The 16,801-nt window shown below is 34.4% G+C and overlaps 2 long non-coding RNA genes across 3 annotated transcripts in view; one reads left to right on the forward strand and one right to left on the reverse strand.

Annotated features, from left to right (window-relative positions):
• LINC02294 (long intergenic non-protein coding RNA 2294) overlaps window positions 1-15,593 on the reverse strand; it is a 46,626-nt gene extending 31,033 nt beyond the window's left edge. The window contains exons 1-3 of the long non-coding RNA NR_110033.1: window positions 15,477-15,593; window positions 14,165-14,263; window positions 2,195-2,283 (exon numbers count right to left, since the gene is read on the reverse strand). This is a non-coding gene — a long non-coding RNA (long intergenic non-protein coding RNA 2294). The remainder of the gene's footprint in view (window positions 1-2,194; window positions 2,284-14,164; window positions 14,264-15,476) is intronic.
• On the forward strand, window positions 2,821-14,176 carry LINC02293 (long intergenic non-protein coding RNA 2293). Of its 2 annotated transcripts, none has more exons than NR_110557.1 (5): window positions 2,821-2,913; window positions 5,706-5,869; window positions 9,209-9,315; window positions 10,393-10,519; window positions 13,995-14,176. It is a non-coding gene; the product is annotated as a long intergenic non-protein coding RNA 2293 (long non-coding RNA). The 2 variants fall into 2 exon arrangements; NR_110556.1 differs by lacking the exon at window positions 9,209-9,315 and adding an exon at window positions 12,177-12,253.
• Window positions 15,594-16,801: the final 1,208 nt, after the last annotated feature.

Raw genomic sequence — 16,801 nt, forward strand, 5'->3', positions numbered from 1 at the left:
AGGTAAGTTGACCTTGCCTCACTTTTGGGCATTTACAAAGTAAAAGTGTCTTCATATTCCAGGTTACAATCCTCATAGAGATGCAGGAAGAGTCCAAAACTACCAAGGCAGACAGAAATGCACCATTGAGCTCTGCTGTTGAAAGCATCTGATGGTGGCCCATTCTGATGAGACATTGGACTTCCCTAGTAGGAAAGTTTGGTTTGGGGACTCCTGTCTTTCTGGCTCAGATTTTCTTAGAGCTGCACTGCAGTCTGAGACTCTACCTGCCCCACTCTCTTTCTTTCCCTTTCTTGTCAACAACATCAGTTCTGCATTGCAGTCTGAAGGATTTCTCTGCCTGATCCTGCTTTCTCCTCTTTATTCTTTGCAGTTGTTTCTAACTGCAGAATCTCTTGAAAGTCTACTCCCATCTGGCCGGGCGTGGTGGCTCATGCCTGTAATCCTCGCACTATGGGAGGCCGAGGCGGGCAGATCACGAGGTCAGGAGATAGAGACGATCCTGGCTAACACAGTGAATCCCCGTCTCTACTAAAAAAAAAAATACAAAAAAAAAAAAAATTAGCCGGGCGTGGTGGCGGGCACCTGTAGTCCCAGCTACCTGGGAGGCTGAGGCAGGAGAATGGCGTGAACCCGGGAGGCCGAGCTTGCAGTGAGCCGAGATCACGCCACTGCACTCCAGCCTGGGTGACAGAGCGAGACTCCATCAAAAAAAAAAAAAAAAAAAAAAAAGTAAGTCTACTCCCATCTTGCTGTCTGCTTTTCAGATGACCTAAATAAATACTTTAAAAAATATAATTGGTGAAACCCCGTCTCTACTAAAAATACAAAAATTAGCTGGACGTGGTGGTGGGTGCCTGTAACCCCAGCTACTAGGGAGGCCGAGGCAGGAGAATCGCTTGAACCTGGGAGGTGGAGGTTGCAGTGAGCCGAGATCACGCCACTTCACTCCAGCCTAGGCAATAGAGTGAGACTTTGTCTCAAAAAAAAAAAAAAATAAATTGTTTTGAAGATGGTGAATATGGGATTATCACCTCACCTGAGAATAGGAGTGAGAGAAATTGAATAAATATAGAGAAGTGAAGTTATTTCAATAAGAATTTTTAAATTTAAAGTCATGTAGATTCTGAGATGAGATCATATTAGAAGACAAGTTAGAAATGGACTACTTAGCTTTAAGAAAGAGTTAACATCTAGGTACATATCAATAATGGCTAAATCTATGAGCATTCTCCTTGAATGATGAAACTCCATCTTTGTTTCAGTCATGGAATTGCGCTGTTGAACTTTTTGTGTCCTGTCTAGGGCAAGTCTTAACTGCATCAGCCCTCATTACAGGTTAAATACACCCAAAGTCCCTAATCAACATTCACTGCATGTGTTTGTAAGTAAAAGCATTTGCGTTTCAATTATGGAAGAGTCTTTACTGTAATATGGAGACTATCTGAGCTTACTTTTGTTATTTCTGTAAAAGTAAGTTACCAGCCCACATTTATCTATTAACTTTTTGCAATAATTGTAGTATAATTTGTGAGCTTATTAAGAATGTGATTGTTTTTTAAATATTTGGAAACATTCTTTCTACAAAATACTAATAGCTCAGATGGGAAATATTTTGAATAATTGTATGTTTTAAGTATAGTCAATAAATCAAATAAATTTCAATTCATAACATTTTTCATTAGATGACAATGTTATATAAACTTAATATAGTTTCAGTGATAGGTTATATTTGTTTTTTCTTCCTATTCCCTTAGTTCATCTTGAAGCTCATTCTGGGTGTGTAACTGATTCCAAAGGCAATTTCCCTTCATCCTCAGTTTTAGGAACTCCCAGGAACCAAAGCTTAAATATCTATTTTCTTAGGAAGGCTACATTTATATAAATGTATTAAGCCTGATCCCTCTCTGAGAGCAAATATAATTACATTTGTTTTTCCCAGTTTGTAATAAAACTTTAAATAAAGATCTCTAGATAAAGGACTTTTACCCCCCTGGTTAAAATCTGCTTTCTTGTTTACTTAACATTTGGTGGTGATGCAATGTATAAGGTATCGGCCAAGGAATGACTCTGTCTTTTCCTGTTGTTTTCTTCTACAGGTTGTGTTTCACATGGATGTGGGTATGGTATGCCACAGCAATATGACATCTTGATTATGTGTATCTGTCAAGACTGTTTTAAAGAACATTCTCACCTCAGATTTCTTAGGTCATAACATTATATTCTTGGTATTCACAGCCTAAACTGTCATGCAGATGGAATACACTTTGCTTTCTTGGTGATCTGTGGTATAGAGAATGAGTTCCAGTTACCATGGGAAATGTATTTGTTTGTTGGCTTGTTTCTTGTCTTAATAGTGGTTTGTATTAAAAGTAAAATCAGAAAAATATCTAAAAAATCTATTGAGATGGTGGCGAACATTACGAATCTTAACCTTCTTATAGAATACCCAAAGAACAGATCTAAAGAATTTCAATAATGACCATAGGTTATGTCAAATAGTACATTAGCTATATATATATATATATATATATCTGTAATAAATAATATTTTGATTAATTTTCCACCAGATATATACATATGTAATTTTCCTGCTAATATATATTTGTACCAAATCTGTACATTTGAACTTTCCCTTCCAAACGTTTTTTTATTTGGGTATAGTTATTAGCAGTCATCTGTAGCAGGTCAGAGTGCTGGAAGAGAGGCTGGTAGACATCAAAATAAATGACTTCCGTGCCACATCTGAGATGCCCTAGAGGCCGAGATCATGATTCCCTTTGTCAAATAAACTAAAAGTTCTAGAATTTTCAGACTCCTGTTAGTTTCTGCTACCACTTAAGTGTTAATAGCTAATAATAGAGCAAGCTTGATTACTACCTTGGTGTCCTAAAACGGATGTTGGCCTGCCAGGTAATGTCCCTCCATTTGCATCTTGTTTTTTCTATCTATGTAGCCATGGAGAACACGTGCCACAATTTACAGGGGATGGTCATCTTATCTGTAAAATAAAGTGTTCCCGTCAGATGATCCCCAGTATGCTGAGTTGTGTTTCTCTGGTATTTTAATTAATTTATTATTATTATTATTACTGTTAATTTTATGTCTGATGAAGTGGCAAAAAAGGAGCTCTACCTGCTTTGGTTGCCAAAACTATCATGAATATTTTTAAATAGTATCAGAGGTTGATGAGCGGCTGGGTTTTTTTGTTTTGTTTTTTGTTTTGTTTTGTTTTGTATGAGACAGAGTCTCACTCTGTCACCCAGGCTGGAGTGCAGTGGCATGATCTCGGCTCACTGCAACCTCCACCTCCTGGGTTCCAGTGATTCTCCTGCCTCAGCCTCCCGAGTAGCTGGGATTACAGGCACCCACCACCACGCTGGGCTAATTTTTGTATTTTTAGTAGAGACGAGATTTTACTGTGTTGGCCAGGCTGCTCTCAAACTCCCTACCTCAGGTGATCTGCCCACCTTGGCCTCCCAAAGTGCTAGGATTACAGACATGAGACACTGTGCCTGGCCGAGCTGCTGATTTTTATTCAAGAGTCTATAGTTGTTTTTCCTTTTTTTCTTATTTTCTACTTAACTTCCAGGAGGCATGAGTGTGGACTGAATGGAACACTAAGATTTCTTCCAGTTCTATGATTTTATGAATTATTACTTGATAACTCTATATATTGGCAATGACATAGATGAGAAGTTTTCCTGATTTCTATTCCACTTCTTTTTTTTTTTTGCTTCTCTTTCTCCTAGGAAAACAATATTTTTTTCCCCAGATTACCATATCTTACTGTAGTAAAGAATAATTAAAATATTCAAAAGCAAAGCGTCACTGGCTGCCAAGGCTCTTAAAAATGCTCAAACATATTTTAGGTCTGTAAAGATTATCTTTTCTCATTCTTCATACAACACTAAAATATTAATCCTGACCATAGTGTGACTATATTAGTATTAGTATGAGTACTTTTAGATGCTTAGTAATTAGTTCTGCAAAAGATTGATAAAAGACACTATCATATCTATGAGAATTCGAGAATCATAACTTGTCTTCCTGTTTTAAATGCATGCTTAGATAACTAAAAATAATTTTAAACTGTTATCAGTCTCATTATTTTTAGTGAAAAATACACCTTTCTCCAGATACATATTCCTTTATCTGGGAAATATAGATGGAATCAGTGATATACCTGTTGCTGAGCACATTATTATATCATTAATGCTTATATATTTCAAATTATATGCATATTCTCTCCAGAGTGATTAGATCCCTTCTACAGTTAGGGTAATGAAGGCTTTATTTGCCTGAGGGGACACAGGGAACCATTTAGGAGAGTGAGGCAATTAAGCAATTATATAACATTTTGAAAACATTCAATACTTCCCACCATTTGATTTGTACTTCTGGAGAACTGCTTTTCTCATACTAGCTGGTTAGAATAGTAAAAATCCTCACACCCTCCCCTCCCATCTGTCATTTTTTTTGGTCATGAAATTATACCTCATTTTACAAAATGCATTTTTCTGAGAAACTAATGCTTACATTGAATTTTGCAAGTTTAATAATTAAGGATTGGAATGTTTTATTTAAAATAATTAAGATTATTTTTTAAAAGTATCACGTGTGAAAGTAATTATCACCCCCAAATTGTATTTTGCAAATTGTGCCTATTTTATCACTACTATACATTTAGGACGAAAAGAAAAAAAGTTGGGGGTGGATAATCTATCATAATACAAAAAGAAAAACTCTTGAGTCAGTGTTACTTTTCATTGGGGAAAAGGCAGGTGGGAAAAATAGATAAATACAAGTTAGAGTTAATCCTAAAATCTCATTACAGCTTAAAATATCAATCTCTAGAAATACAAAACATTTGCCAAAATAATTGTTAATATGTGCAACACTACCCAAATTAAAAAATGCAATTCTCCCTTCTGCTAGTCCTCCTTCTGTACCAATATAATTAGCAATAAAATTGAAGGCAACAAAAATAAGAAAAGACATAATGATCCTGGAAAATCTACAAAATGGATTATCATTTTCTAACAATTGTTAATACACTGTGTTTTTTATGTGGTGGTGTGATAACATTTTTTTCTTGCTTTCTTGTAAGTTAGGTACTGTGCTATATTTATCTTTGACAGGGCACCTAGCATCTGATAGAAATTCTAAACAGCAAATGGTAGTATGATATTTTTATTATCTATGCCTCTTAAAACTCTGGCCAATAGCAAGTAACACCATTTCCACCTCCCAGAGGAGAAAGATAAACACAAAAGGAGCTTAAGTGGATAAATCACATAGCATGGACACAGAATCTTTTCTAAATAAATAACCTATTAAAATAGAAGTTGGCAGTCTTATAAAAAGAAAATAAAAGTTCTGATGAGGAAACCTGGGTTGTTTCTCAGCTCTAACTACAAAAATAAACATCCTTGAGAAATTGCTGAACCTCCTTGTTCTTGCTTAATGTAAAATGAGAGGGCAAGATTAAATGATCTCAAAGCTCCCTTTCAGTTCAGGGACTGTGAAATAATATGGTAAATAGGCTTACTTAGGACCTTCTCGGGCACTAGCACTTTAAGAGTTTTACGTGGATTGTATAATCATCAAAATAATCCTGCATAATAGACACCATTGTTAGTTGCATTTTATGAAGAAAGTGAGGCTTAACCATTGAAGTATTTTACACAATGTCATGTGTTTAGGGAGCAGCCAAGGTGAAGTTTTCAACCAGGCCGACCAACTTCAGAGTCCACTGGCTTCAAAACAGTGCTTTACATCCTCCTTCCAACATTATTCACAAGCCGATCAAGACTGAGAGAGTCACAAGTGTGTGAAACCTGTATTCTTTCTGACTTCATTTTCCCTGGTAAGATGGTTACTTGCCCACCAATCTGGCTTATGCTACAGTGAAACACAACTTCTTTATGGTTAACGTTTTTGTCTGTGCTCATTCTTTAGCTGTAATCAAGAGGGTGGCACATCTTCCAATAGGATATTTATCCTGTGTATTTTCCAAAAACTGGCCATGCAGTCACTAAACATGGATCAGAGAGAGGTTCATGGAAATTATAAATGAACAGTCAGGAGAGAGTCTTTTGTGGCAAAATTACAGGAATGTCTCCTCAGGTCAAAGTCAAAGTAAGGATGAATTAACTCCCGAAGCAATTTTGAAAAGGTGAAATTCAATGATATTGCAGTTGTTGGACCAGGTGTTAAAATGTTATTGGGTGTTAATTTAATTTTCATCCTGTCAACACTCATCTGAACTGTAACAGCTGCTAAACACAGTTCCACAAGAGCAAACTATCCTCACAGAGGAAGCAGATGCCTAATCAATAGGGCCAATAGAAATGTATGGCTCAGCCAAGCAACACACACAAGGGGGAATGAATCCCATAGGACTCTGTCTAACCTGAATGAAAAAGAACTTAATGATGGTGAGGCTATTGAAGCAGTAAGAACAGGAGACTGAAAGTCCTGGATTGGCTTCCCATTGACTCTTTTTTTTTTTTTTTAATTCTGCATGACCTTGGATGGGACAATGCCTTAGTTTCTCTGTCCCCCTGAGCTTGCAGAGGTATTGTAGATGGAGTTTCAAATCTATTGCTATTTTTACTGCTATTATCATTTCATAGGTCTTGCACAGTTCTGAGTAAAAATCAGCTTTTTCTTAACAAAATGTAACTTTCTTGAGCTTCTAATATTAAAAGATAATAATGATGAGGTAGTAATAGTTAATAGCTGTCCTTCATTGCAACCTAGGGTGGAAATGAATAGATGACTTATCACTGAGAAAGGGAATTTTTAGATTTGAATAGTTTTTGAGTACTATAATTTAAAACATACTAAGATATGTTACCTCCCCTTCTGGAGATTTTCAAATAGAAAGTAGATCGTTGCGTTTAGACGAAATATAATCTTACCTAGAAACAGTGGTTTGACTATATAACCTCTTAAGGTCAATTAGAGCATGCATTTAATAGTTTTCTATAAGCTAGTATACCTCATCCAGAAGGTCAGCTTTATTTATGCATCTCATACTTGGTTATAGATCCCCCTGGGAGCATGTGGTGGTGTGGGGCTGAAATATTACCTGGGATGTTTTTTTTTTTTTTTTTTTTTTTTTTTTGAGAAGGAGTTTTGCTCTTGTCGCCCAGGCTGGGGTGCAATGGCGTGATCTTGGCTCGCTGCAACCTCCACCTCCTGGGTTCAAGTGATTCTCCTGCCTCAGCCTCCCAAGTACCTGGGATTACAGTTATCCACCACCATGCCTGGCTAATTTTTGTATTTTTAGTAGAGATGGGGTTTCACCATGTTAGCCAGGCTGGTCTCAAACTCCTGACCTTAGGTGATCCACCTGCCTCGGCCTTCCAAAGTGCTGGGATTACAGACATGAGCCACAGTGCCTGGCCAGGAATTTTTAATAAATGAAAATAAGTTGATATTTATTTAAGGAAGTAAAATGAAAATTTCACATGAATATTAAAATAATGCATATTTCAAATAATTTGAATGTTGAGATAGACCTTTTGGCCTACATACAGACACTTGGCAATTGTTCTTTCTTGAGGGGTCATCAGGGAGAGGTTCACTGTGGCTACTTATGTAGGATGTTCTCTTGAAGGAGAGATCTTTCGTTTTTCTGGACTTGTTAAATGTCATACCAACCAAAACAACAACAACAAAACACCCGTCTTTGACTTAGAGTTTCACAGTGCTTCTAATATTCCTTCTCTTCTGCTCTCTACTTCTACAGAAAGTGAAATATTTAAGGAGGCATGCAGTAGATGTTATTTCAGAATATATAGAAACTGTCCAGTGACTTTATGACAAAAAAAAAGATTAGTTTTGAGAAGATAAAATAATTGCGGCATATGGTCTGATGAACTGGATTTTTTTTTTTTTTTTCGGAGATACGTCAGTTTTTAGTTGGGAGAATTCAAAAGGCCATCAGGTGCATATTGAGAATTTTGTATCATAAAATTCTTATTCCAAAACATAAATGCAAATAAGGTTGATAAGAGGAACAACGCCAAGCTTTGGCTCTTTGGAGCTCTTGTAGAAAAACAAATACACAAAAATAAGGTCATGAATTGTATTTCTTAGCACTTAACTGAAACTGGGGACAAGAGCCATCATTCGTTGTGTTTAGTATGACAACATACTAGAAGGTTTTTTTTTTTCTGTTAGGTATTTGAAAAGCTTAAAATTTGGCACAGGACTGTAACATCAGGAATCCCTTCATTCCCACCTCTCTCTCGTCTTTCTTCTTCTGCCCCCTTTTCTCCTTACCAGTGGGAAACGAATTTAGATGAAACAATTTGATGAATGGATTTTGAGCAATTTCAGTGAAGAAATATGTACTTACAGGTTCAATTGGGTTTCTAGTGTGTTAATACATTATCAGAGTCATTTATAACCTGCATTCTTATGGCTGTAAATTAATTTCATTATATAATTTATATAAAAAAGATAATAGATTGATGCATGTTATTATTTCCTTACCTTCACTAATTAGGTTATTACTAAATGAGATCAGCTAAATTCTGAAGCTTTTAATGGAAAATTGATGTAGCTATTGTGAGCTCTGGAAATCTTATTTCTTTGTTCTATCACTATAATATGTGTATAAGGATTCATCACCAAAACTTGATATTTAAGTCAAATTAAAGGGCATTTTTACTGTAGTGATCAACCTTATACAATTTATGAAGATTTGTTTTTAAAAACAAAGTTCATAGAGAAATTAATGTTTCACCTTTTCCCTTATAACCAGATGGCTTCTGGAGGGAAAACTGCTTACAGCTTATTCACTGGCTTCTCAATGACTTCAGTGCAAGATGAATAATTTCAGGGGCCACTTTATCTTGACTATGCTGTTTAGTAACTAGTGTGATTGTTTGTAATGAAATGAAAAGAGAGACTGAAGAACGTAAAAAATGAGAAACTAAGGAGGAAACAGGGAGAAGGTTAATAACTCATTCTGAAAATACCTGTAAGATTTAGCCATGCCCTAAAGTTTTAATCGGTTGGGCCACATTTTATTCAGAAATTTAGTGAGGAGCCTATTAACCACCAAGACTTCATTTCTTTTCATATATAATATTTATTTGAGATTTGGGGATTATTCTATATCTTCTGATATGAAATTATAATAATGTGACTTTCACTACTGTTAGACAAATACTGATTGTCTTTCTTCCAGGGAACCTCAAAGAATTCAAATATGCTACTTAGTATACACACTAATGTTTGCTCACCCTTTGAGCATAAGCTCAAATTTTATTGTGGCTTATCTTCTCCAAAAAATGGGTAGGTCTCCACTTTTCTAACATGTATAATGAATTATTTAGTGTTTGTCTTCCTTGATGAACCCCCATGCTTGTCACAGTAGCTGGTATATTAGGAATTGAATCGGATAGAAATTCACAAATACTCCTCTATATGTATTTGAAAAAGCTTATCCACATTTGTTAGTTGGAGGAAACCAACACAAAGAGATTAAGATTTGCCCATGATCTCTTGAATCTCTAGAATCCTCATTTACTGAATTTTATTCTAATACTCTTCTTAAGGTAATACTATAATCCTTAAAGTTAAATGTAACCTATGGCTAATGAAAGCTGAAAGCTAAGGCATACATCTAAGCACAAGCCTAGAATTAAGAAAATGCTAGGTCTTACACTAATCCTGCTACTAGTAAGTTCAGAGAAGTTACTTGTATAAGTATGTATATGAATTATCCCCTGAAAAGTTGTTTTCTTGTTTTTTAATTCTAACAATGTTGTACTGAAGCTGTTTTAATGTATATTTTCAAGAGATGTGGTACAATATGGTCGTTTGAGAATGTGATATATTGCTTTTTCCTCATAGCACTTATCACTACCTTAGGTCTATCTATCTATCTATCTATCTATCTATCTATCTATCTATCTATCAGTTGAGGAGCTCCTCCTCCTCCTTGGCTTCATCTATAATGGAAAAGCCATGACAGCCTGAGAAGAAGGACTTTGTCTATGTTTTTCACTACTGTATCCCACCTTTAAGAACAGTCCCTCAGTCAGTAATGGTGCATAGATAGCATTGGGTTTGTCAGTGAGTGAATGAACCATAAATGTATGTCATCAGCACCGGCTCTATAGCTTAGCCTCAGTCTTAGTGAACTCTATGACCTACCTTAAGTGACCTTATTGAAAGCCTTGAACCACAACTTTAATAACAGTTCTGGTAGTATCTTTATTCTGCTTTTGGCTTTGATTGTTTCTTTACTTGTGTCTTTTGCCCAAATGGATTAACTATTTGAATGTATTGTTGCTAAACATTAATGTAGAATCTCCTTCCACTGTTATTGTAGGATTTTAAGGTTGTGGCATTTGTTGTTGTTTATAGGTCGAAATTTTTGTAGAATAGACAAATCAAGAATGATGACTTCTTAAGATGCAGTATTCAAGTTCAGAAATCTATACTCAGATGACCTTATGTAGGTCATCTGCTTCTGAGGTTTATCTCACCAGTGGTAAGTGAAATGGTATGAATATATAGTACTTCAAATAAATGATAGTGTAATAAACTAACCAGTCTCTGAGAAAGATAACCTGTCTTGTGGAACAGCAATCACTCAAATATAAATGAAATAGCTTACTCTAAGGTGTAATTATTACTTATTACTGTAATTTAGTTTTGACTTCAAATCCCCAAGCCTGAGTATCTTACTCATCCTGGATGTTTTAATAGTATTAGAAGTCTCTTGGTTTCCTAAAAATTAAGACTTTGTTCCACATGCAGATATTGGAAATTTATTTAATAGGCCAAGTGACTGAAGTGTTAATTTCTGTTTTGAAATATTACAAGAATCATGTAAATATGGCATGTTTCTAAGAAGTGAATTGGGAATAGATTTTATTGAACAAAATCTATTCATAGCATGTGGCTGCTCTATAAATCCTGGACGATTGTAGTAGAATGTGTGTTGGTTTGCAGATGTAAGGAAAAAAACATAATTCACTGCTATGCTATGGTAATAATAAGTTCCTAGAGGGAGAGCAGGCTAAAAATAATTTATTGAAACTGCCCTCAATTTCTAAAGACATTTCTGAATTCTATTTAGAACATAGCCATTGATTACAAAGTGTGATTTGAGAAGGCAAAAGAGGCCAACTTTCCTGCAAACAAATTAAGAGATGCATATTGACTGCAGGGAAGTATGTCATCACTGAGAAATCGAAAGCAATGGGACTTTAGGAAATCAATCAGCAGTCCAGTCAAATTAGATTTTTTTTTTCCTCATACTTGCTGGAACCCTATGTAGAATGTACATATTTTCAGCAGATACAAACTTTTAATTTTTTTAGTAAACCCAGTTCAACAAAATAAATAGAGGATAGGTTACAGGTTCTAGTTCATTCATATTGCATATTTTCAGAGCCCTGATAGAACACAGAAGTCCCTTGGAATCCTATGTAGGTGTATATCATCTTATGATAATTTTTGTCCCAGTAACCCATTTTTCTTAATGGTCTAGTTTGAATGCCCTTTGGGAAGACATGACTCTAATCTGAGACCAATAACCAGCTTTCCACATTTATTTTGACCCCTTTTGGGGACTAAAAAAAATGCGTATCTTTTCAATACATAAAAAGACAATAGCACTATATGCTAGTCAGTTCTACTTGATTCTCTATGCTTATAAGGTCAAGGTCATTCTCCTTTCTGAAATAATGATAGGAGAATGTTCCTAAAAGTAAAAAGTCGAATACTGGAATCAGTTAGATCTCAAGCATATAATGATTCATGGAAGCATATGTATATTGTCACAGAGTTTTTTTTTAAGATAATAAACCAGAGACCTTATAATAAATAAGAGCAACATATATCCCGAATTTATTATTTTCAACATGATATATATTATTTTCAGACATCTTTAAAATATTTTTAGAGAATTGAAAACATATCCTCTAAATATATCAAACTAGGATGTGATTGATAAAATGGGGTTGAAGTGGATCTTAAGTCAGTCTTAACTACTTGTGTGTTTCATTGTGTGCTTGTGTAAGGCCCTATGCTAGCCGCAATGAAGGGTATAAAAATGCATTTGACACAGTGTTTATCCTCAAAGAGATTATCCTCTAATACTGTGTGCAGTTAACACAATCTCTGTGGAATTTTTTTTTTAGAGAGTTGAAAACATATCCTCTACTTATATTAAACTAGGATGCATAAGAGGGTTGATAAAATGGAATTCAAGTGAACAGTAAGTTAGTCTTAAATACTTGAGTTTAATTCAAACTTGTTTAAGTGTATTTCTTACTAGAAAATGTCCACTTTCTTTCTATAAGTGGTCTAAGACAATAAAAGTGAAAGTATTTCAAAACTACTTTTAATTTTTCTTCATTTTTATTTCAAAAATACTTTTAATTTTTCTTCATTTTACCAGATATTATTAGAGATATTAAAAACAGAAACAAATAGTATAGATTTTATGATTGTAAAACAATATATGCCAAGAGTGAATAATTTGGATAGCATGGATTTACTCAAACAAAGAAAATAAAAAGCATTCATAATTCCACCACCCAATCATGAACACTGCAAACACAGAGATAAGGCAGTCTTGACTGCCATTGCCAAAATTTCTCCAATTTTGTGTCAAGATTACAGAATAAATGCATACTGTAGCTTTCCTTTCCAGCTTCAAAAACTTAGCAATGGAAGATATTATAAAATGAATAAATGCATACATATACATAAACATGTTGGTAAAAGCAGTGGGGAAAAATTATAATTATTCCCTTGAAAAAAATTATCAAGAATCAGATTGAAGAGAAAACATAGCAATGCATGGATGGGGCCAGTTATGAAAGGTGGAGGTTGCTCAAGGAGTGTTCCTCAAATAAGATCATGAAATTGCCCTCTTCATTCCCGTCTTGGGAGATTTATCTGCCCCTAGGTAGGAGCAGTGAGAGTTTCAAACTTTTTTTTTCCTATATGTAAATATATATGTATTATATATATATATATATATTTCCAGAGTGTTTTCAAAATAAAAATCATTATTATAACATACATACCATTTTGTAACTTATCTAACAAATTATTGTAAGAAAATAACTTGCCTACAAAATCATAAAGTTCAGATGCAGTGTAATTTATTTATTTAAACAATTACATCTTTCTCTATTTTAAACAGTGCTGCATTGAACATCCTTATAGTAAAATCTCTTAATTTATTTGCCTTTTTTCAATACATGTTTTGATAAATTAAATTTTAGTATTATTTTATAAGTAAAAAATTGGGATTTTGATTAGATTTGCTTTAAATCTAAACATTAATTTGTAGAAATGTCTTAAATCTTTACAACATTTAAACTTATGTATGGTAATGTCTCTATTCAAGTGCTTATATTATTCAATACTTCTGAGGTTTTCTTCACTTTAATCCTAAATATTATGCATAAGTATTTTTATGTTGTTCATATAGTTCTTTTTAATCTTTGAAGATATTGATATATATATATATGCAAGTTACTGGCTTCTGCATATTTATTTTTAAGTATTTTAGAAATTATCTTGTTAAATTTAATATTTTTTTATTTGACTATATTCATTATAATTCTTCATGTACTTTCAGGTTTTCTTCTGATTGCCAAGTGTTCTTTTTACCCCCAACAGGCATCCTGACTCAAGCTGTATACATTTGCAATATCTGATTTTTAACCACACACTCTTCATCCTATTGACCCAGAGTGAAAATTGATACTCTTAGCTGAAGGACTGTTCCCTTGAGTATATTTAAACCAGACCAATCTCTGTGTTTAATCTGGGTTCATCAGGAACCATTAGCCTTGATTGGTTTGTTTTTCTCCCCCTCCATCTCAGGACTTGATTCTATTGAGTTAACAACTATTCTCCCCAGAGAACAGCTACCGCAAGCCTGTTTCAAGTAATTCCAATATCTGGCTCTTAGAAATTGAACTGATCTTTTTTTTCTTTAGTTTTATGTGAAGAACTGCAGTAATGAATTCTGAATTTGTTCAAATCATTGAAGATGTGTGAAGACAAAACATTCACTCAAATCTCTATCATGTTAGCATGTTATTTATCATTGCTCTGTTCTTCATTGTTGAATAATGCAATTGAGTTAAAAAGAATAAACATTATTTACCGAAGACTCATATGTTGATATCCAGTAAATCCTCATTAATCACAATTTGACAAGCTTGCAATTTCTGGTATTTCAGGAAGGAACTAGGTATATGTTTATCTGTGCAAAATATCAAAAAATGCATTAGTAAGCCTTTTAGTAATGTAAATAAGACTGCGGAAGAATTATTAGAGCAAACTATATTTTGTTTAAACTATTCCGGCATAACACATAACTCAGAAAATAAGACAATCTATCGAAGCCTTACAAATTACAATCTGTGAGGCCTGTCATAACTTTCATAAGAATGCTTAATTACATTGTGCTGCTGATATAAAGAACCCATCTCTAAATACAGTTAAAACATTATCCAGATTTTCAAACATAATTTCAAGGGGGATAATAAGTAGAAAAACTACGGGGTTATTTTTCAGATCATATATTTCTAGCTCTACTTTTGAATATCTGTGACTCATGACTTCAAGTAAATATTTTACCTCTTCTGAATCTAATTGCTTATCATTTAAATAAAAATACGTCATTGTGCACATTTCATGGAGTTGCTAGTGAACATAAGGAGCTTGAGACTGAAAGCTACCTTAAAAATTATAAATCAACAAAATTCTGAATACTCATTACTATGTTCTGGATTACTCTTATTATAAATTTGCAAAATAATTTTGTCTTCAGTTTTTGAATTCTGTATGGCAAGGAGCACAATGGCTTGTGTTAGCTTGTCTATAAAATTGTAATTGGTATGAAACAGCTTTGATAATTACCTCAGCTACAATATTCTGAATAATTTTCAGTTTAGCTTAAAATATTAGAACAAGTGGCTATTCATGAATAAATATTACTGATATCTTGAAAGAAATAACAAGATTCCTTCTTTAAGCTCTTAAACTCTTTCCATGCTGTAAATTAAACACATCAGTAATAGCTAAGAGAGAATTCTGATACACCATCGTTTACCACTATTATAGCACAAATTTTGGATGTGACAAATTTTAAATTAGTAGATGTTATTTTCCCAAATAAACAAAAGGAGAATCTAACATGAAGCAAATTCAAACTACATCTTTATAAGACGTTTTATAGCCATGTAACATAAAGGCTAATACTAAGCTGTCATTAGTTAAATGATTAAGTTTGGAAAAATTATTATTGATGACTAGTATTGCAAAGTGTTAAAGTATTAAACATTACATCTCCTTGTGTCACTAGGTACTTTCCTTCCTCATTCCAGGCAGCAACACAAGAAAGCATTCATTATTTTAAGGGAGGACAGTCTCAGGAAAACAGCAGAACAAAGGCATAGACCTAAAATTCTTACCTTTTAGATTCGAAGTGGTTCTCAGGTATAAGACAACAAGATTTGAGAAAAACAAGCAAACAAACATGATCACACACAAGGAGTTCTTTCCCAAACTATACTAGACCAGAGACTAGAGAAAGATCATTAAATCTGAAGGAAGGAGTTTAGCAATCCAGAGGCTGGTATGTGTTTCTTGCCCTCTCCTCTCTTACTTGAGTTAATTCTAAACTGATGGGGACAAAGTGGAATCCCTTAATAATTTGAGGGATCTGCAATTAGATAAAATCTGTGCTGCCAACATTCTATGTTCCTTCTTGGCAGTAGAGGATACAATGAAACGGCTAAATCAGTTCTCCATGCACCAACAAGACTTACAGTACAGACAGATAGTTTTTCTGGATAAGGTTGGCATAGCTTTGCCAGTCAAATTGGAGGAGAGTTGCAGTAGCATACATGGCATGAATCATATGATAAGAGACCACATGAGAACTGTATACCTCAATTGATATCATCATGAAGGTATTAATTCCAGAAAGCAGATGGAGGATATATTTTAGTGGATGTCACGATAGGCAGGTAGTGATGAAGGATGAGATGCCACCTTTCACCTCATGTCACATTTCACCTCAGTGACCTTGGCGTTTATACACAATACCAAGAAGAAAGGGAACAGGAAGAGGAATCCTCTAGACTGCTTTGAAGTGGCAAATTATGTTTCTGTTCTCCTGAGCAGAATGGAGTTAGGGTTAAATTAGACTGAGTTATAGAAAATAAAAACTACAATTTTTCATAATTAAGTTTGAAATTATTGTAGCAGATACACTGGTCTTCCTATCATGATGATTGTGTTCTCTTCCTAACATGGCATTCACCTTAGTAACTCACTGTTAATATGTAAAACACAAAACAGAAAGATAAGGAAACTGGTAAATTCCATCAGCCTAACAAGTTTCCTCCATGTTTTCCTTTGACTTATGCTGAAGTTAACTGCAGGGGATGTCCTGGTTCTTTCTAGCTTCTCTAGTTTTAATGTCAAGAGCAATTTATTTTCTTTCTGTCTTCTTATCCACTTGAAGTGGTAGAAAGAAACTTTATTCATAAATAAAATCTCCCTAGGTAATAAATTTTTGGTTTAAAATACCTTTAACTATTGGCAACTCCTAAATTTCTCTCAACAAGGAGCTTAGGGGCAGTAATCCGGCTGGAAGTGGTGATGGTGGCTGCATTTGTAGGCGGCACACTGGCACATTATGCATTATTTGGAGATAGATAATGGGAAAGTTAACAAGGTTTACTAATCATCCCCGCAACAGCACCCACAGATCTGATCTCGGTGATACAAT

The sequence above is a fragment of the Homo sapiens genome, chromosome 14 (genome assembly GCF_000001405.40).
Source record: "Homo sapiens chromosome 14, GRCh38.p14 Primary Assembly".
Taxonomy (NCBI): Eukaryota; Metazoa; Chordata; class Mammalia; order Primates; family Hominidae; genus Homo; species Homo sapiens.